The 20,422-nt window shown below is 45.8% G+C and overlaps 1 protein-coding gene across 10 annotated transcripts in view; it reads right to left on the bottom strand.

Annotated features, from left to right (window-relative positions):
• EEFSEC (eukaryotic elongation factor, selenocysteine-tRNA specific) overlaps positions 1-20,422 on the bottom strand; it is a 272,743-nt gene that overhangs the window by 176,469 nt on the left and 75,852 nt on the right. For all 10 annotated transcript variants that reach the window (XM_024453695.2, NM_001437809.1, XM_024453693.2 and 7 more), the window contains exon 2: positions 2,712-2,919. In XM_024453695.2, coding sequence (XP_024309463.1) covers positions 2,712-2,919 — 208 coding nt within the window. The remainder of the gene's footprint in view (positions 1-2,711; positions 2,920-20,422) is intronic.

Genomic DNA, 20,422 nt, shown 5'->3' with positions numbered 1-20,422 from the left:
ATGTTACAATAAGGATGGACCTTAAAAACATTATGCTAAGTGAAATAATCCAGACACAAAAGGCCAAATAGTATATTATTCCACTGATAAAAGGTATCTAGAACAGGCAAATTCATAGAGATGAGAAGCAGAATAGAGGTTGCCAGGGTGGGAGGAAGGGAGAAAGGGGAGTTATTGCTTAATGGCTACAGAGTTTATGTTGGGGGTCATGAAAAAGTTTGGGGTATATATAGTGGGGACAGGTACACAGCACTGTGAATGTACTTGATAGCTCTGAATTATACACTTACATGTGGCTAAAATGATAAACATTATGTTATATGTATTTTACCACAATAAAAAAAATGTGGAAGAAAAAGTGGGGGCAATACTACACATAGTTAAAAAGAAAAAAGAAATGAAAAAATCCAAAAGTGCCAGCAGCTGCCATTTGAGAAAAGAAATCTTTGGGTGGGCTCTTCTTTCTTTTAACTACTTTTCTCTATTTTCCAAGTTTTCTTTCAGTTACTCTTTGGACAGAAAAAAATACATTTAATGTTTTGAACACTTTTTTGGTTTTGATAGGTACATGGTTCACCAGTCCACATTTTCCCTTTATAGACAGAAAGTTTCTTTGCATCTGGACTGGCATTTATGAAGGGTTTACTTAACAAGGGAACATAAGAAAATGAAATAGTCACTTAAAATCATTTAAAGAAGTTCTTTGCTTCATGGAGGTAAAAGCTAATGTTCAGCAGGTCACATGCCCACTGATTACAACCCCTCAGGGTGACAGTCCTCTCCTTTCCCTACCAGCCTGCTGGTGCTGGATGAGGGCAGGAGGGGCTTCCAAGGACCCTCAGATGGACAATTTCCTCTGGATGTGTGATAAAGTCCATAATTTGATCTTCAATCAATACACTAAAATAGAAATAGTAATTTTCACAAGCAAATGAGAATTTTCCTTAAATTTAATCAAAACTATTACTATTAATTAACCCTTAAACGTACCCTAAGCCCTTCCCTGAAGGTCCCATTTCTATAGTAAATGATACTGAGGTTGTATCTGAGTACTGAGGTTGTACTGGGTTTTTTTGCGGGAGTCCAAAAGACCTGTTCTTCCTTTTCTGACAAGTAAATAAAACGACAGGGAGATCAAATAACTCACTAAAAAGAAGATATAATTTTTTATCTTCCTTTTTACAGTCTCATATCCACTTCCGCTGGGAATAACAAAGTCTGAATTCTTATGCAACACTTATCTAAATGTGTCGATTTTATCGGATTGATGAATTTTGCTAACAAAAGGCAGCGCTAGAAAATCTTTTATGACATATTTGGCCCATTCACAGAGCTGGAGCTTTAATTTAACCAACTTGAGAATTCTGAGGGAGAGCTGCAGGTGTTGGATCTGAAAAAAACATCATAAATGGGAAGGCATATCAATCTTTATGACAGGGAAACAAAAACGCTCTCTACTTGCTTGCCCTCCATGGGCAGAAGAAGGAGAGGTGGAAGTGGCAGGATATTGTCTCAGGCTGCATAGCAAAGAGGAAGCATCCCTGTCTCCCAGTGACCGCTATTTAGTATTGATCAAAAGGGACTGGCCTAGAGAGGAAGAGAGAAATTGATAAAACAATGAGGTCTGTCAACACTGTGCTCAACAAGGACATTTTCTCATTTTCTTGACCACATCAGAATTAGTCATTCCTGTGGCCGCCTGAGCAACCAGGTGGCTTTCTGTCTCACAGTCCCCCTGTGCCTCCCGCACCCCTGCCCTTCTAGGTAGCACTGCCAGCTTTCTTCCACACTTACTGTGATCCAGGCGAATTGCTTCACCAGGGCTGTGGATTCTCCCGCTAGATATCTCCCCAAGCCACCTCCTCCCTCCATGCTCTGCCTCAACTCAGAGCAACACCTTCTCTCCCTGGTAAAACCACTACAGTTCAGTAGCCTCTGCTGCTCCTTCTCCTTCTCCTCCTTCTCCTCTCTGCTGCCTCCTGGGTCCTCCTCACCATGCCAGCCTTCCACCTGCAGCCAGTGATCTCCTAATGAAAAACCTCATCTAGCCACCCCTTGCATAAAATTCCTTAATAACTTCCTACTTTCCACAAGATAAAACTGTAAACTCCTTGGCAGAAGATGCTAAAAAGGTCCTTTGTGATTTGGTGTTTCCTAGTCTGGCTTCCAGCAGCAACAACCATCTGTCGGTCTGTCCACCCAATCTTACAAGCTTCTGTAACAGAAACAACCAGTCATCTACCAAAATTGATCTTCCCCTTTTGATAATCGAGTTGTAGAGAAGCAGATAGCAAGAGAACACAGTCCTAGCCTCTCTTGCACCAAAGTATGGCCAATATATGTAGGCGGGACTAAGTTTTTATCAAGACAAGCTAAGTAGAAAGGATCTGAACCCTTGCCAGTCCAGGCCTTGCACACTGGGCACAGAGTCCCTGTGCTCCTTCTCCTTCCTGTGAGCTGAGACACAGAAGGGCTTGTGCCTCATCAAATTCTAGTTTCTTTATGCTCCTGTGGTTTTTGGCCTCTTTTAAAAACACGTTAGCCTTTACCTCATTTAATGCAGCCCTTATGTGAGCAAATGCCAGGTTGAGATCTCACTTACTAGGACGGGAGGCTGACACCTGCCTGTCCAATTCATGTTTGTGAAATGAACATGGGAGGCCCCAGAAGCCTTCTTATGCAGTGAACATTGCTCTCATTAGCAGACCTACTTGGTGTTCTCTAGGGTCTTCTGCATTTTCTTGGTCATTTTATCAATTGCTGCCTGTCTCTTTCCTTCAGGTAAGAGGTCTATTTTGTTCAGCACCACGACCAGCTTCTGGCAGGCAATCTGGCCGATCACAAGGCATTCCGCTGACTGGGTCTGCATCCCCTTGGTCACATCGATGACCAGCATCATCAGATCAATGATCTGGGCCCCTGGAATAAGAGAAGAGAAGGTTAGAAAGGGAAAAGGGGTGGTGAGCCCCACAGAAAGTTGCCCAATGCCCCAGGTCAAAGCACTGCAGTAAAAGTGAGCAAAGTGGAATAAATGGTGACTACACAGCTTCTGGCTACAGGCCCTGTGCTAGGCACTTGGACCTGAAGCTTCAGAACTGCCATGGCAGATGAGGAAACTGAGGTCCACAAAACACAGAGAGCTTGCCCAGGATCGCACTGCTAACACGCAATAGGGCTGGGTTTAGGTATAGGCTCATCTAACTCCAAAACCCGTGCCTTTCTATTGCACCAATCCTATCACTTTCATTCCATTTGACAGAGGAAGAAATGTCTCAGCAGGGGGAAAAAAAAAAGTTTCGTACTAGGCTTGGCAAATGGCTAGATACTTGCCCTTGCTAAGAAATGAGAGAAGACTGAGAAAGTAGAGGAGGCAGAAGGGGGAGGATTAGGGAGTGGACAGCATCTTTTCCTCACAGTGCTACGGCTCAGTCCTATTCCTTCTGGGGTGTTAGGAGCATCTAAGGTTCTGTGTCATAATCGCTAAGTACTGAACATTTGTGTGCGTGTGTGTGTGTGTGTGTGTGCGTGCACGCTTGTGAGCATCATCCTACTGTACAGCACACCTGAGCTGAACAACAGCAGGTAGACAGACAAGTTACAGAAAGTGAATGAAGGGAAACTGCTATAAATCATGTCAGGAACATAATGTTAGCCAGTGAAGTGACTGTTTCCTTTTTAACGGGATTTGGAGTCATTTCAACAAGAAGCGTGTAACTTCGTACTGCAGGAATATACAAACATTTTCCCTATTAAAATGAAGAATAATTACATTTTGAGCTTATAAGAATGCCCATGAAGCATTTCTCGGGATCGGATTATGGTCATTGGCAATGCAGAGGAGACTGCTCTGTGAATGACTCTGATGATGCTGATTCTATCCCACTGCTGGGGATAGAGGGAAGGCATGGAGGAGGGAGGGCCTTTCTTTTTTCGGGCACTCTGACTACGCACACTAGGTCAGCTTACTTAATCTCCAGTAAACTTATGTTTCAGATGAAGAAACGGAGACTCACAGACATGGGTCTAGGTCATGTGCTCTAGATCACACAGCCAACTAGTATCGAAGACACTAGAAATCAGGGCTCCTGACACCACTGCTGAAGAATTCTTCCCACTGTTCCAAGAGGCCTCTTGGTCACCCCTGTCCTGTGACACTCCTCTGGCCTCCCACAGAACGGTGTGTCTCTCTGACTTCAGGTAGACCTAGGCATGCCCCAACCCTCCTGTCTCCCACTCTGCTTCTCCCTGTCCAGCCTCCTCTCCTCATCCTGCCAGCTGGGGCCACAGGGCTAGGCTCAGGTGCACGCAGCAGCAGCAGCAGCATCTCCTCTGCCAGGTCAAGGGGCAGGAGGGCCCAGGTCTCTGCTACAGCCACAGAGGGGATGGACACTGACTCTATCATCTACCGTGAACAGAACAGACTATTAAAAACAGGCTCGACTCATCTGATAGACTCCCTCTCATAGCTACTGAATTACCAACTCTCCTCTGGACTCTTTCTCTGTTCCAGCTCCAGTTCCCATAGCCCATGGCAGGCTCATGTTGGCTAGTCCCTAATGGGCTGCTGCAGCTCAGATGTGGCCCTCCAAACTCCATCCTCCAAACAGCCTTCCCAAAGGCACTTTCTAAAAATATATCACTGATTCATATACTGCTGGGCAGGAGCGGGGGTCGGGGGTTAACTGGTATAACCTCTGCAGAGGCACATAATCTTTGACCCAGCCAAGCAGCATGTTTGTTACAGCTAATGCTGGAAACTAGGTAAATGTCCATCAGCAGGGGACAGGTTGAAAATAAGAATATAATGCTATAATGCCATGACAGAATACTATACACCCATTTAAAAGAATGAAGAAGCTCTTTATCTACCACTATGGAATGATATCCGAGGCGGAGTGAGTGAGAAGGGCAAGGCACAATGTGCAGAGTGTGATTTGTGTTGAAAAGGGGATAAGGTATACGTGTGTGTGTATGTGTGTGCACGTGTGTGGGTGTCACATACTGCATAAGTATTTGCTTCGACACACATAAAATATCTCTGAGGGAATGCAAAAGAAACTAATGACTTGGTTGTCTGCTGGGAGACCAAAGATGAGTAGGAAGGAAATTCTCTGTACATTCTTCGGTTCCTTTTCATTTTAAACAGGGATGTGTAGTATCTGTTCTAAAATAAAATTATAATTTTAAGTGCATAAATAAATAAATAATACAATAAAACACAGACCTGACCATGCCCTTCTCATGCTAAGAGCCCCACTGTCCACTGGAAAAAAAAAAAAAAAAGACTCCCCAATGTGGCTGTGGGAGGCTCCCTGTTTTTTAACTACCAGTTGCTTCCCACTCACCTTGTGCCAAGCACCATGCTGTGTGCTCCACAAACCCTTTCCTGGGCTTTTCGCCCTCTCTCCATGGCCCCATGACACTCATGCCTCCCTCACACAAGCTGAGCCCAAGCCTTCCCTACCCAGAAGATACACCCAACTGTCTTCCGGGTCCTAACCATCAGTAAATCTGGGAACTGGCCACAGGGCTGTGAGACTGGGTCTTGAGGCAGGATGAGATAAAGCCCAGCAGGGAACAAGGAGGGAGGAACACGTTGGGGGCCCAGCCTATTTTCCAGTCTCCACCTTCACAGCAGAATGGATCCTGCACTGGCCCCACAGGCCTCCCTCTCCGGTGGGTGAAGCTGTGCCCACAGAACCAAGGCCACTCAACCTCATGCGTTCCTTAAGGACTTCTCCAGAGTAATTCTGACTATCCAAGTTCCCTCTAGAACTTAAACACCTGCCACTACCTAGCCCCTAATTTACAGATGAGGAAGTCGAGGCTTTAGGGAAGTCCGTTGACTGCTCATGGTTATACAGCAGGTAGGTGGCAGAGAAGAGATCTGAACCCTGGTGCCCAGGTTCTTAACTCCCACGCCACACAGCCCGCCCTGCCCAGTGGGGACCCAGCCCACAATTTCTCCCCCTCCCCCCATCAACTCTCCCACTTCCCATCTAAAGATCAAGGTAGGACCCAGGTGGACTCTCGCCCCTTTCCCTTCCTTGCCTTTGCCCCTGCTCCTGCTTTGCCCAGAACACCTGCCCCAGGTTCACTTGCCCCTGATCCTTGATGCCCCACCCGGCTCCATGCTGAGGGTTCATAACCAAGGCCTGGGTTTTCAATCTGTATTCACAGCACAAGACCCAGCTTGGGCACAGCTTAATACATCGTTGCTGGACTAATGCAGCAAATGTCCATATCCCTGCCTCTTCTACTTTATTCACCAGGAATCTGTTCCTCTTCTTCAACAGTCGATTTCCTATTGGTATACACAACTATCCAGTCAACTATCCAGTAGGGGAATGACTCATGTGCTCCACGCATCAGGCCCTCTTGCTTCTCACGCCTATTGAGATCCTGTGGATGGGAAATGAAACTGATTGACAGACCCAGAAAACTAAGCATAGATAGGACCCAAACACTCAGGAGCCAGTTGGGATTTCATCTGCAGCCTGATCCAGCATCCAAAAGCCGTCTTTGTTCCAAAAGGCCAGGCTCTTGAGCGGACCCCGTGCAGCGCAGCCAGCACCAGGGACTTCTAAGGAGCCCAGAGGTCAGAGGGACTTGACTGGCCACACTGGGAACCAGACTAGCACTGGAAACCCGGGGTCATCACCAGGCAACTGCCTGCTGCCTGGCAGCAGCTCTCAGTTACTTTCTTTTCTTCATCAAACTTTTGATCAGACGACAGGAAGTGACACAACTGGCCCGTCTTGCCTTTTTCAAAATCCCTAGTAGTTTCATAGAATGAATCAAACAGTGTCCTTCCCAATTCCCATGAACCCAGGGTAGAAAATCGCTCTGAGACTAGAGGGACATAGCGAGTGAGTGGGTGGGAAACACAAGACAAAAAAATCAAGGCTTATAAATGATCCTCTATATTTCCCAATCTATCAGAGTTTTTCATCTAGTTGTACTGACTATAGTATCCTTAAAAGATTTGCAGAATAATTATAATAGGGTTAAAGTTTCTCAGTACATTTAAAAATTACAATTTCCAATTCTGTAAATTATATATCTTAATCATTTCAAAAATAATGAAAAACTTACAAGGGTCAGCATTTAACAAAGCATAAGTTATCTGTGAGGTGTAATTTTCCTTTTGGGACTGAAGGAATAAAATATGTTCAGAAAAAAATATTTCAGCTGGAGAAACTTAACATTATACTTTGAACATATTTTAGCAACCTCAAAATCAGATTTTTTTTTAAAAAAGTCAAAGCTATGGGCATTATAAGAAGGAGAAAAAATGTTACATTTAAAATAAAGAAAAAAAAATTTATTTCCAACTTATATTTTAAGTTCAGGGGTACATGTGCAGGATGACCAGGTTTGTTATGTAGGTAAATGTGTGCCATTATTTGTTATTTATTTATTTATTTTTTTAATTTTAGAGGCAGGGTCTTACTGTTGCCCAGGCTGGAGTGCAGTGGTGCAATCATAGCTCACTGCAGCCTTGAATTCCTGGGCTCAAACGATCCTCCTGTCCTAGCCTCCCAAGTAGCTGGGACTACAGGTGCATGCCACCATACCCAGCTTATTTTTAAAATTTTTTTGTAGAGGTGGAGTCTTGCTATGTTGCCCAGGCTGGTCTCGAACTCCTGGCCTCAATAGATCCTCCCACCTCAGCTCCCAAAGTGCTACTAGGATTACGGGCGTGAGCCACTGTGCCTGGCCAAAATTTGTTTTTGACTGGTGACTTTTTAAATATTCATTGAACAATGTAAATACATTTTATCAACAATATAAAACTGCAGTGGCAATTAATATCCTACTATTATTATGACCATTTGCCAAATACATTAACTCTCTCTGTGCCTCAGGCTCCTCATCTTATACAAGGACGATGATACTGCCTATGTTATTGGATTGCACTGAAGATTCAATGAGATCAGATATGTAAACAATTTAGAACAGTGCCTAGACATATGAAATCCTCAATTATATTAGCTGTTACCACGGTTTTCACTTCTACATCTGCTATTATGACATGCACAGTGGTGGTCTACATGTCTTCATCTCCTCTTACCTACATCTCAACACCAACTCTGCAATGTGGGTATTACAAATGGGAAAACAGGCTGGGTCTGTAACCCCAGCACTTTGGGAGGCTAAAGTGGGCAGATCACTTGAGCTCAGGAGTTCAAGACCAGCCTAGGCAACATAGTGAAACCCCGTCTCTACAAAAATACAAAAATTGGTTCAGCGTGGTGGCACACGTTTGTAATCCCAGCACTTTGGGAGGCTGAGGTGTGTGAATCACTTGAGCTCAGGAGTTTGAGACCAGCATGGGGCAACATGGTGAAACCCTGTCTCTATACAAAATACAAAAATTAGCTAGGCATAGTGGTGCATGCCTGTAATCCCACCTACTTGGGAGGCTAAGGTAGGATAATCACCTAAGCCCAGAGAGGTCAAGGCTGCAGGTCAAGGCCTGATTACACCACTGTACTCCAGCCTGGGTGACAGAGTGAGACCCTGTCTCAAAAAAAAAAAAAAAAAAAAAAAGAGAGAGAGAGAGAGGACAAAGGCTTAGAGAGGTGAAGTAACCAAGTCAGGTCAAGGAGCAAGGATTCAGAGGGATTTGAACTCAGTCTACTGATTTTGCTCTACAACAGTACCCTGAAACTCTGAGCAGCAAGATCTTATGTCCAGAATAAAACAATTGCTCTGTACAAGCCCCCTGCGGGTGTTCCAGGACAAAACGGGCAGGTTTCAGAGGTCCCCAACTCAGAACACAGCTTCTCAGACTCCAGGGCGAGAGCCTTATATTATTATTTGCAGCTGTTTTTATTCATTTATTCAATGTATTGCCTATCTCCTCATTATACAGGTAAGAAGACTGAGGCTGAGACAGGTTAAATAACTTGCCCAAAGCCACCCAACTAGGGGCAAGAACCCAGGACTGATCAGGCTCCATCCAACACAGGTTGCAGCTGTCCCAACCCTGACTCTCTGCCAAGGGCAGGGGATGGGAAGGCAGCAAGACTTCAGTCACATTGCAGCCCATTCTGCAGAGAGAGCAAGGAGAAAATCAGTTTTAAGGAGAATTAGTTTTCCTCCTTCTGCAGTTTTCCTGAAACAGGGTAAGCCTGGACTTTCCCTCTCAAATTCCTACTGGTACCAGGAAGGTGTGGGACTAACCAGCAGTGTCCAGCCTGTCCTCCTCAGCACAGGCTCAGAGGATTTGGAAATGGAAGGGGCTTAAACAAGAGGGTCATTTTAAAGACCAAGGAAACAAGGACCACAAATAAGAGGAAGTGGCAAGAGCAGGGCTTGGAGGTCCCCAAGCTTGGATATGTTCAAATCACAACCTTACCAGGAGCTTCAATTTCCTCATCCACAATCAGGACCTAAACAAAGATGTCTCCTGCAGAAGATTAGGAGAGACTCAGCCCTAAGCACCCTCAGTAAGCAGGAGCTGGTACTAACAGCTGTGAGCACTGAACCTGGGCCCCATCACTCTTGGTCGAACTGTAACAAGGCCTGCTGTCCCCACTAGTCCAGGCAGACCCCAGGCAAACACAAGTGGACAAAGCCTGCTGATGGAGTTGGGGAAGGGGAAAGGGGAGGAGAGAAGGAGGGCGGTCACGACCAGGCCCTGCACAGTGCCTGTGACCTAGCACCCACCTGGGCACAGGGCAGCATGCCACACTCATGCACTCTCTCTCAGCCTTTCTGCTTAGCCCTCTCACTGAAGCCAAACATTCATGCTGCCCATGCTGCTAACAACCACCAGGTTACTCCATCGACTGCAGGAGGTGCTAGGAGTTTAACAGGCTAGAGGCTCCTGGCCAGGCCCAGACCCTCCAGTGGGGACCAGGTGGCCAAAGGAGGCCCCAGTCACAGGAGAAGGCTCCAGGGACCCTGGTCCTTGTTATCACCATTTTCATGAACAGTTTCAGATGGAGGGGAGTTTTATAAAGCTATTCACCCTCTCTGTGCTCCATCTCCACATCTGTAAAACAGAAACAATAATTGCATTTCTGTTTTCTACTGACAGTGGTGTCTACCACTCTAGTTGGAAACTCAGGTTCCTGTAGAGGAGACAGCCCAGAGGGAGGGCATGTTTTGATCTGAGGCATGTGATCAAGGAATTCATAGAGAGGGGTGCTGCCTGTGGGCAGGAGGAACGGGGTGGCAGCTTGGAAGCCCACCTCAAGTTCTGAGGCAGGCGGGGGCAGAGGGTAAGCATCTCGCTCTGCCAGCTGCACAGCCTCAGGCAAGTACACCTCTTGACCTCCTGGAGCCTGGGATTCCTCCTTGGAAGATGCTGATGCCAGAGACAACACAGTAAGTTGGAGGAGGGCACCTCACCCAGCACCTGCCACATGCCCCAGACTCACTAAATGCAAGCTGCTGCAAGTATCACTATGCCAGCACAGTAAGAGCTCAAGAACTGGCCTCCTCCTTCCTTTAGGACTCACATATACCCAAAGGCCTTGTGCCCTCCAGAGGAGGAAGAGGAAGAGTATTAACGGCAGCATGGAGCGAATACAAACAGTGCCTCCCCCAACTCCTGTGGACCCAGGAGCTGGCCCCTCACGGGGTTTCTTGGTAAGTGCCAGCCAACAGCCTGGATCACTGTATCCACCACTGGGCAGGACATCCTTTTTGTTTGAACTGCCCTGCAAAGGCAGGCTCCTCCACAAACATCCTGGCCAAATCTCACCAGACTTGCAGGGAGACCCCTGAGCAGGAGAAGCTGACCCGGCAGAACTAGACATTGCTGTCCTGGTCCCATGATGCATTAAGAGTCAAACCCTGGCTTCTTGGTCTCCAGGTAAAGGATATGCCATACCACGTGGACCAGAAGAAGTTTAAGAACTCCAAGAACCGGAAGTAACTAGTGGGAACAGAGTTGACCCAGCGTCCAGCAGGGACACTGCAGGGTGCTGCCTGACTGACAAGAAACCCAAAAGCAGCAGCCACAATTCAAATAACAGCCATTACACACTTTGGGAGGCTGAAGTGGGCAGATTGCCTGAGCTCAGGACTTTGAGAACAGCTTGGGCTAACATGATGAAACCCCGTCTCTACTAAAATACAAAAAATTAGCCGGGCATGGTGGTATGCATGGAGGCTGAGACACGAGAATTACTTGAACCCAGGAGGTGGAGGCTGCAGTGAGCCGAGACTATGCCACTGCACTCTGGCCTGGGCGACAGAGCAAGCTCAAAGAAAACCCCAAAAAACCCCGAATAACAGCCACTGTGGATTGAGAGCTGAATTGGAGCCAAGGACTTCACATCACTGGTTGCAAACTGACAACTTAAAGATGCCTGAGGATCTGGAATGGGCATTGTCTAGCCTGTGCAGTACCTGTTAGAATATGCATACACTGCCAACATTTACAACTTGAGAAATGTCACATAAAAATCTCCATGAATTAGCACATGTGGTTAGACTGGGCCTTTGTCTGATGTGGCTGAGGAGCAGCTGTCTCCTGGAGAACAGGCATGCATTCCCAACTTTACCCTGGTTCCTGCAATTCCCTATTGCCTCACACCCCAGCATTTGTACTACTAGCCTGGCTCCCAACAGGCACCTGAGCTTGTGACTTCTGCATTAGTTCTAATCCTCACCACTATCCCCTGGAAGAGGAGACCTCCCATTTCCATAAAGAGAAATCTGAGGTCTAATTGCCCAACAGTCAACAGCAGAGGCAGCGCTAGTACCAAGGGCTGTCTGACTTCAAAATTTCTGCTTTTTCTATTATCAGCTGCCTCTTGGCCAGAATCATGCATTCCTGAGTGCTCTGGGAACCCTAAGGCATCCCAAAGAGCAGGTGGGCAAGGCCCTGAGGATAGAGAGGAAGGAGAACAAAGTGCACAACCTGAGGCACAGTCCTGCAGGAGGGAGCCAAAGGAGACATTCATCACCACCTGAAGAAAGGCCAGGGTGAACAATGAGAGCATGTCAGCAGTGGAGGAACAGGAGGAACAACAAAGAAGGTCCATGTAAGACATCAAGGCAAAAAATAAATGGCCCTGGACAAGATAGCAGACAAATAGAGGTGTTGGACCCCCGCCAAAAGGAAAGAAAGCCAAAAAAACAAGAAATGCTAGAGACTCATGGCAAAACACCCGCAGAGCTGGGAGAGGGGAGCAGGGCAGGATGCAAGTCCATTTGCTGGCTGCACAATCTTGGGTAAGGATCTTTCCCTCTCTGACCCCAAGGTCCACATCTGGAAACAGGGACAATCACATAATTGTGATAAAGGGACAATGGGTAGCCATCTAGATAAAAATAAAATTGGATGTCTACCATACACATGACATCAGAATAAATTCCAAATGGATCAAGGTTTCAAACATAAAAACAGAAAACCAAAAAAGTACTGAAAGAAAGGGTGAGAAAAAAATTTTTTATAATCTTAAAAGTAAAAAAATACCTAGGTAAGATACAAAACCCACAGAATAAACACAGAAGAAAATAAAAAGGAAACACTGACAAATTCAACAATATAATAACCAAATATCTCTGTATAGGAAAATACGATAAAGTCCAGTGACAAGGGAGAGAAGCTTAAAATGCATACTACATACAAAGGACTGTTTTCCTTAATATTTCAAATTGGAAATATAGAAATGGATTTTTTAAAAAGAGCGACAGTCCAATCAAAAATGTAAATGGTATCAACAGCTAGTTCACACGCAGCACGTTTACTGAACACTCCCTCATGCCAGACGTAGAGTTGGTGGCTGGCACACTTGAGAGGCCAGACAGACAACAGTCCCTACCCCTTGCAATCGAGAACTCACAGTCCAGTAGGGTAGAGCAAAAGCAAACATTAAAACACAGTAAGTGAATTTCACAGTAGGGTCAGAGAGGCTAAGCATCCTGGGGAGAAAGAGCAGGAGAAGTAGGCTCCGAGCTGTCTGCGAAGCAGGTGGCCTGCAATTTTAAATCAGGCTGTCAGGAGAGGCCTCATTGAGAAGGAGCTATCTGGGCACAGACTCAGCGGAGAAGGAGTTGGTAGGCAACAGAGGGAGGAACAAGTGCAAAGCCTCCACATGCGTTTGAGGAAGAGGAAGGAGATGAAGTCAGAGAAATAAGCAGGGGCATAAAGAAATAAAAATAGCTCAAACATGATAAGACATCACACCTTACTAGTAACAAAAAAATGCAAATTAAAACCACTGTACACTGAAATTCTGTTTTTCACCTACTGTACTGACAAAATAATACTGATGATAATACAAAGAGCTAACATGTTGAGTGTTCGGCCTGCCTAGCCCTGACATTCTGGGAGCCTGCTGACACTCTGTGTCACCGCCACCCCCGCCCCCCGCCATTTACAGATGAGGAAATTAAGTCACGGGTCGCAGAACTAGAAAGATAGGGAGCTAGAATTCAAAGTCAGGCTATGTGGCTCCAGAACCCAAGTTTTATACAGGAGGCCGAGTCACCTCAAACATTTGGTAACACTCTTGGCTGGGCACAGTGGCTCACGCCTATAATCCCAACAATTTGGGAGGCCAAGGCAGGCAGATTACTTGAAGTCAGGAGTTTGAGGCCAGCCTGGCCGATGTGGTGAAACCCCATTTCTACTAAAAATACAAAATTAGCCGGATGGGGTGTTGCGTGCCTGGTGTTGCTGCGTAATCCCAGCTACTCGGGAGCCTGAGACAGGAGAAACACTTGAACCCGGGAGGCGGAGGTTGCAGTAAGGCGAGATTGCGCCACTGAACTCCAGCCTGGGCGAAAAAGTGAGACTCCGTCTGAAAACAAACAAACAAACAAACAAACAAACAAACAAACAAACCTTTGCCCATCCACACAGGGGAGACAGATAGTCCTGCCTGTCACTGGGGTGGGGTTGGGGGTAGGAGCAGCACAACGGCAAATGGCCGTCAAACACCCCTGGGGACTAGCAGTGACCCACGTGCACATGGGGCACATATGTGGACACTCATTGCTACGTGTCTGGAAGAGCAAAAGGTCAGAACCAGCCTGACTGCCTGTTGGAAGGGAAGTAGTTAACTAAACCATGACATGTACATAAAACAGAACATGACCCAGCTATTTAAAAACACCACGGTAACTATTCACTGAATAGAGCTCTAGCGGAGCTGGTGTGTTCACTGTGTGCACAGTATATTGCCACTTCTAGAGGATCCGTGGGAGAAAGAACATGCTTAAAAATCATGAAGTGTCTTTGGAATCTTTAGAAGAAAATGGTTATAGCAATTTGCTTCCAGGAAGTAAACTAGGTAAGCAGGGGGAAAAGGAAGATTTACTTTTTACTGTGTACCTTTTTGTACCTTTAAGATTTTGAACTATGTACATACATACGTTACTGACTCAAGAGCAATTTATTTTTAAAAGTAAAGCTTCAGGCTGGGCGCGGTGGCTCAGGCCTATAATCCCAGCACTTTGGGAGGCCGAGGTGGGGGGATTGCTTGAGCCCAGGAGTTCAAGACCAGCCTGGGCAACATGGAGAGACCCCATCTCTACAAAAAAAAAATACAAAAATTAGCTGGGTGTGGTGGTGTGCACCTGTGGTCCCAGACATATGGGAGGCTGAGGCAGGAGAATCACTTGAACCAAGGAGGCAGAGGTTGCAGTGAGCCAAGATCACGCCACTGCACTCCAACCTGGGCAACAGAATGAGACCCTGCCTCAAAAAAATAAAATAAAATAAATAAGTAAGTAAGTAAAAGTAAAGCTTCATATCACTGGAAAACCAGCATAATTTACCATAAGTGAAAAGTTTAAAAAAAGAAGTACAATAAAAGTAAAACACTGTTATTAAGTTCTAGCCAGACATGGTTACAGTAACAGGCACTGAGCTTACAATGTTAAGAGAAGTATAAGAGCTCCCAGCACCAACCTGAGATCTCCTTAAAGTCATCAGAAGGACTTAAAGAATCTTGAAATGGGAATAACTTTCTCACTGGGATCGACGTCCCTTAACACCATATCTGTGCACACATCAAGTCATCTCAGACACAACTCTAGGTATGTACCTGTCCTATTAGGAAACTTGTCAAGAGGCTAGCTTTGATCTACAAGTTAGACAATCCACCTAAGGCAGGGTGGGAGGGTAGCAGAGAGAAGACACCCAGTTATGTCTGCTTAGTGGTCATAAAGATTTTCTGTTAATGAGGTTTCAGCCTTCTGCAAGACCAGTGGAGGAATCCATGGAAATGTCCTCGCACCACAGTCAGCCTTGCTAGAGAGCAACTCCTAAGTCTCTGTCTGGCTGTACCCAAACCATGCTGTCGTATGCAAGGATGGTCACAAAGATGACTCAAGGGTGATGGGCATACGGGAGTCCTATGTACTATTCTTAGAGCCTTTCTCTAAGTTTGAAATGACTTTGAAATAAAAAGCTTAAAAATGAAAAAAATGGGCTGGGAGCGGTGGCTCATGCCTGTAATCCCAACATTTTGGGAGGCCGAGGTGGGAGGGTCACTTGAGGTCAGGAGTTCAACACCAGCCTGGCCAACATGATGAAATGCCATCTCTACTAAAAATACAATAATTAGCCAGGCATGGTGGTGTGTGCCTGTAATCCCAGCTACTCAGGAGGCTGAGGCACGAGAATTGCTTGAACCCGGGAGGCAGAGGTTGCAGTGAGCCAAGATCACACCACTGCACTCCAGCCTGGGCGACAGAGCAAGACTCTGTCTCAAAATAAATAAATTAAATAAATAAATAAATAAATAAATAAATAAAAAGATGACTACAGGTCAGGGAATCGGGGAAAGGAAGAAAGAGAATGAACACATATTGCATGCTTAAGAATGCACCAGGCACATTATTTCAATTAATCTTAATAGCCCAGGAAGGAAACATTTATTATTATTCACACACACAGGTGCAGAAGCTGAGACTTGAAGAGATTTGAAGGATCTGAAGTGACTTGCCCTCAGTCACACAGCTAACAAACTGGAGGACTGGATTAGAACCCAAACCTCCAACTCAACAGGAGAACTTGTACCATGATACTAAGCAATATCGCCTGTCTGCCAGAGTCTAAGAGCCTGCATGCCCACCATGAGGCTGAGGGAAGAGGAAGTTAAGGAGATGCTCAAGGTCAGAGGTAGGGACCTATCTAATGTAGGATGTTCCCTATCTAATGAAAATACAAAATAAAGTGATCTTCAACAGAAGCATGAGGGAGCTCAGGTAGATCTGTAAGAGAACTTCCTGAGAGCAAGGGCTGGTAAAGATGTGGATGGATAACTGGAGACATGATTAAAGAGCTCTTTGGCTAGAAGTTTTCAAAACAGCTGATCCACATCAGGGAAGAAGTATGAATTAAGCCAGGGTTCTCCATCCATGAGCCACCTTCATGATTTCTGCCAGACCCATGGATACTACCTCTACTATTATTTACTCACATGTATGTTTAAATCATATCATTTTTTAAAATTCAAATGCACTTATATTAAAAACAACTTTACATGACCATAAGTACAACACTCTTAAATTTGCGTTAAGGAGAAATTAACTGTAAAGATAAATAAAACATTATTAGATGTTAACTGGATAACATGGCCTGCTGAAGCACTGAGCCTGGAACTCACTCTGCCGAAAAGGGGTCAGTGAGAGGTAGGGGAAAGGTGTGCTGGCACTAAATCCAGGGACTGGAAGAAAACTGGAAAATGCATGACCTTCAGTCCTGCTAAGCCAGAGCATTAATGATGCGCCAGGCATCAGCTTATCGTCAGCCAGGAGCGGCCCACCCCTAGGGAGGCAATGAAGTAGACACTGATCACTGGGAGGACAAGAGGCAGAGTCAGCCTCATACAGGAAGACACACGAAGAGTGGAGGTTTCCAAGCTCCTGTCAGGGCCAAGGAGTCCGGGGGGTGATGGCTGCTTATGTCGCCTTTCCAGATGGAAGCAGACATGAGGGCTCTGTAGGGCCACAGGGCTCCCAACCTAACCAGGGAGTTTTGCCTTTTTGCTTCTTTAAGCTACCGTGTCATAGTCTATCTAGGGTAATCTTTTTAGCTGACTTTGCACAACAGTACAACTCCCGTTCAAGAGCAGTGAAAAAGAGCAGAAAATGGAATTTGAAATGTAGAAATAAAATAATTGTGGCCCATAAGCTATAATTTGATTTCATGCTTTAGGCTTCCTTAAAATGTACAGTTTCTGTTCTCTCCCGCCTCAGTCCCCTTCCCCCCATTTTAACCATTTTAGGATTTCCTCTAGCACTGAAGAGAAAATAGGATTGTGGAAAATGTTCAGTTCTCAAGTGTCACTACCACTCAGGGCAAGCTCGATTTTAATGTGAACTTCCCATTCCGGGTAAGAGGAAATTCTTCAATTAATAAACCGGGTGTGCGGAGGCCAGTCTTTAAGGTTTAATCAATTTCATCTGTACTTAGGATAAAAAGACTGACTATTCTACTTTTTTCCCCTCGTTTTCCTTCTTTAAAAAAATAATAAAATGAATGTTTTATTTTAAATTCTTTGAGGTTCGTATCTCCTGTTTCAGGAAATATTGTCTATTTCATGCAGTGAGTATGAAAACTTCCCCCCACCCCCTGCCCAACTTTTTTACTTTTCCTCCGAATCTTTATTCAAAAATAACTAAATTATCCTTTGCCCTCATATACTATAACAGCTTGGGAGATGATACGAGTTATACAGGATTTTGGCAGACACCTTGAGGGGCTTGGGGGTGGGGGTGGGAACAGAGAGACAAATCACCAAATATGGATACAAGAATTTTTGGACAAAACAGTAAGAGGTAGACACAGGAATGTGAATTACAAAGAAAACCCTAAGCACACTTCACCATCAGCGACGCCTGAAATCCAAACACAAACCTCACCCAGGGAAGAGCCCCTGCCCTGTGTGTCCTCGTGTCTCTCCCAGTTCTCTCAGCTGGGGGAGTCGGGGGAGATACGACAGGATGGCTTGGAATCTCAGAATTAAGCCAGGGAGCCTTCCCAGCAGTGCTGAATAAACACTCAGACTTGCCAACCAACCAGGAACAACAGGCCCTAACAGGGCACCGAGAACCCCTGACTCTTTTGTTACATGACATGGACACTGAGTCCACCTTGGATCCTGGGGCAGGGTTGGGAATCAGGCCCCACAGGAAAGGGCTCAGGGCACAATCCCTGGGGAGGGCCAGCCTGAGTTGGAGCCCCTGCTCCACATACCAGCAGTATGATCTTTCACAAAATGCCTGGGCTTTCCAGGCCTGTTTCTTCATCTATCATATGGAGATGAAACCATTACTAACCTTTTAGAAAGGTATGTGATGTGCCTAGCAGACTGCTTAGAACAAAGAAGGTACCTGATCCATGAGACGGGAGAGCCAGAGTTACAAAGATCTGTGCAATTCAGTGTCATCTCAGCTCTTCCCACAAGGTGCCTTAGGGAAAAGGCTATTTTTTAAAGTCAATATTTTTCACAAAAATTCTGTAACTCTGGGGTCCTGTCAATGTGATTTCCATTGTGAAAATGAGTGGAAAGCCTCATCATTCATAACAATGGCTACCAATTATCAAGGTCTCGATTGGGCTGGCCACAGTGCCAAGCAACAACCCATCCAGGTATGAGAAATCTGAGGCTTGGAAAGTTAGACACAGAGCCCAGTCCACAATGAGGGCTCACTAAAATGAGTGAGGGGGAGGAGGCGAGGGAAGACAGGAGAGAGGGGATGGAGGGGAGGAGAGGAGTAGGGGGACAGTGCAGTCCTATAGCTAGAATGTGGTGGAGCCAGGAGCCAATGCTGGCTCTGCCTGATCTGAGGCAACATAAATTAGTTCCACCGGCCACCTACCTGAAGGTCACCAAAGAGGATTTCTCTTGGAGAGCACCCAGTGATCTCCAAGGGAAACTGTGAAGGAAACTTCCTGGAGTCCTCCATCTCTAGATTTCAGGGCATGCCTACTGATGCATGGGCCACCTTGAGAGTGAGGGCAAGGTGTGTGGGGAGACAGACAGACTTTGAGGGAACATTCTGGATTCTACTTCAACTTTCCCAATCTGCATGCTAAGCGAGACCTGTCTAAAGGCCCTTACCTATTTGAGCCTCAGTCTCTCCTACCTGTAAAATGGGGATCATATACTATAAACAGAGCAGTGTGAGGCTCATGGATACTTGCTAACCAACCTCACTTGGGTCTGGAAGACAGCAGGTGCTTCATCATGAAAGTGATCATTATGAGTGCTCTTGAGCCTGAGTTCCCATTCTCCCTAACAAATGCTATCATTCACAAAGGCCTGTCCTAAAGTAAAGAAAGTGGAGAGCAGTTGTCCCAAATATAAAAGCCTCCAGTGGCCAAGTACAGTGGCTCACACCTGTAATCTCAGCAATTTGGGAGGCTGAGGAGGGAGGATGGCTTGAGGCCAAGAGTTTGAGACCAGTCTGGGCAACATAGTGAGACCTCCAACTTTATAAACAAATTTAAAAAACAAAAATTAGCCAGGTGCAGTGGCACATGCCTGTAGTCCTGGCTACTCTGAAGGTTGAAGGAGAGGATGGCTTCAGCCCAGGAGTTCAAGGTTGCAGTGAGCTATGATCGTGCCACTGTATTCCAGCCTGGGCCACAGAGCACGATCTTGTCTCGAAAGAAAATAAAGAAAAGGAAGGAAGGGAGGGAGGGAGGGAGAGAAAGAATGAATGAATGAAAAAACGAAAGAATGACAGAAAGCGGGCGAGAAAGAAAAGGAAAGGAAAGAAAGGAAAAGAAAAAAGAAAAGAAAAGAAAAAGAGAGATAAAGAAAGAAAAAATAAAAGAAAGAGAATGAAAGGAAAAGGAAAGGAAAAGGAAAGGAAAGGAAACCCTCCAGGGCTGGTGGGCACCTCACATGAGCAACATGGGCTAGGCATAAGTCAAGGTGTGAGACCAAAGGGAACAGAAACTCCCGCACCCCATTTGGAGGGGACCGTTTCTCCTCAGCTCCAGTACACCATGGCCAGACAGGAATGTAGGCCTCAAGTTGCCAGATCCTCTGATTTTTTAAGAGATGCCAAAAATCTGGAATATTATATGAAATTCGCCAATGTTTAAATGTTGACAACCAATTGAAAAAAATGTTTAAACAGCATGGCCCAAACAAAACATGTCCATGGGCCAAGACTGGCCTGTAGCTCCCTAGTGTGAGAACTCTGGAGTTTTCGCTAGAAAGGAAAGTTCGAAGAAACAGAATAAACATCTAGCCTTTTAGGCCTGTAACTATTGGAGTCAGAAAAGCACTCAGGAATCAGTCCGCTATGCCTGGGGTAGGGCAGATTTGACAGCCCACTCCTTCTTTCTCCCATGAGACATGTTTTGCCCATGGTGGGGGTGGGGAAGGTGGATGCCAGGAGGGTCATCCTGGAGGAAAGGACAATGGGCTCTCTGGGGTCCAAATGAGAGCAGACGAATCTCACTCAGCCCTTGCCCCTCCAGTGGGGC

The sequence above is a fragment of the Homo sapiens genome, chromosome 3 (assembly GCF_000001405.40).
Source record: "Homo sapiens chromosome 3, GRCh38.p14 Primary Assembly".
Classification (NCBI taxonomy): domain Eukaryota; kingdom Metazoa; phylum Chordata; class Mammalia; order Primates; family Hominidae; genus Homo; species Homo sapiens.
The sequence above is the reverse complement of the archived record's forward strand: the minus strand, read 5'-3'. Positions and strand labels throughout refer to the sequence as shown.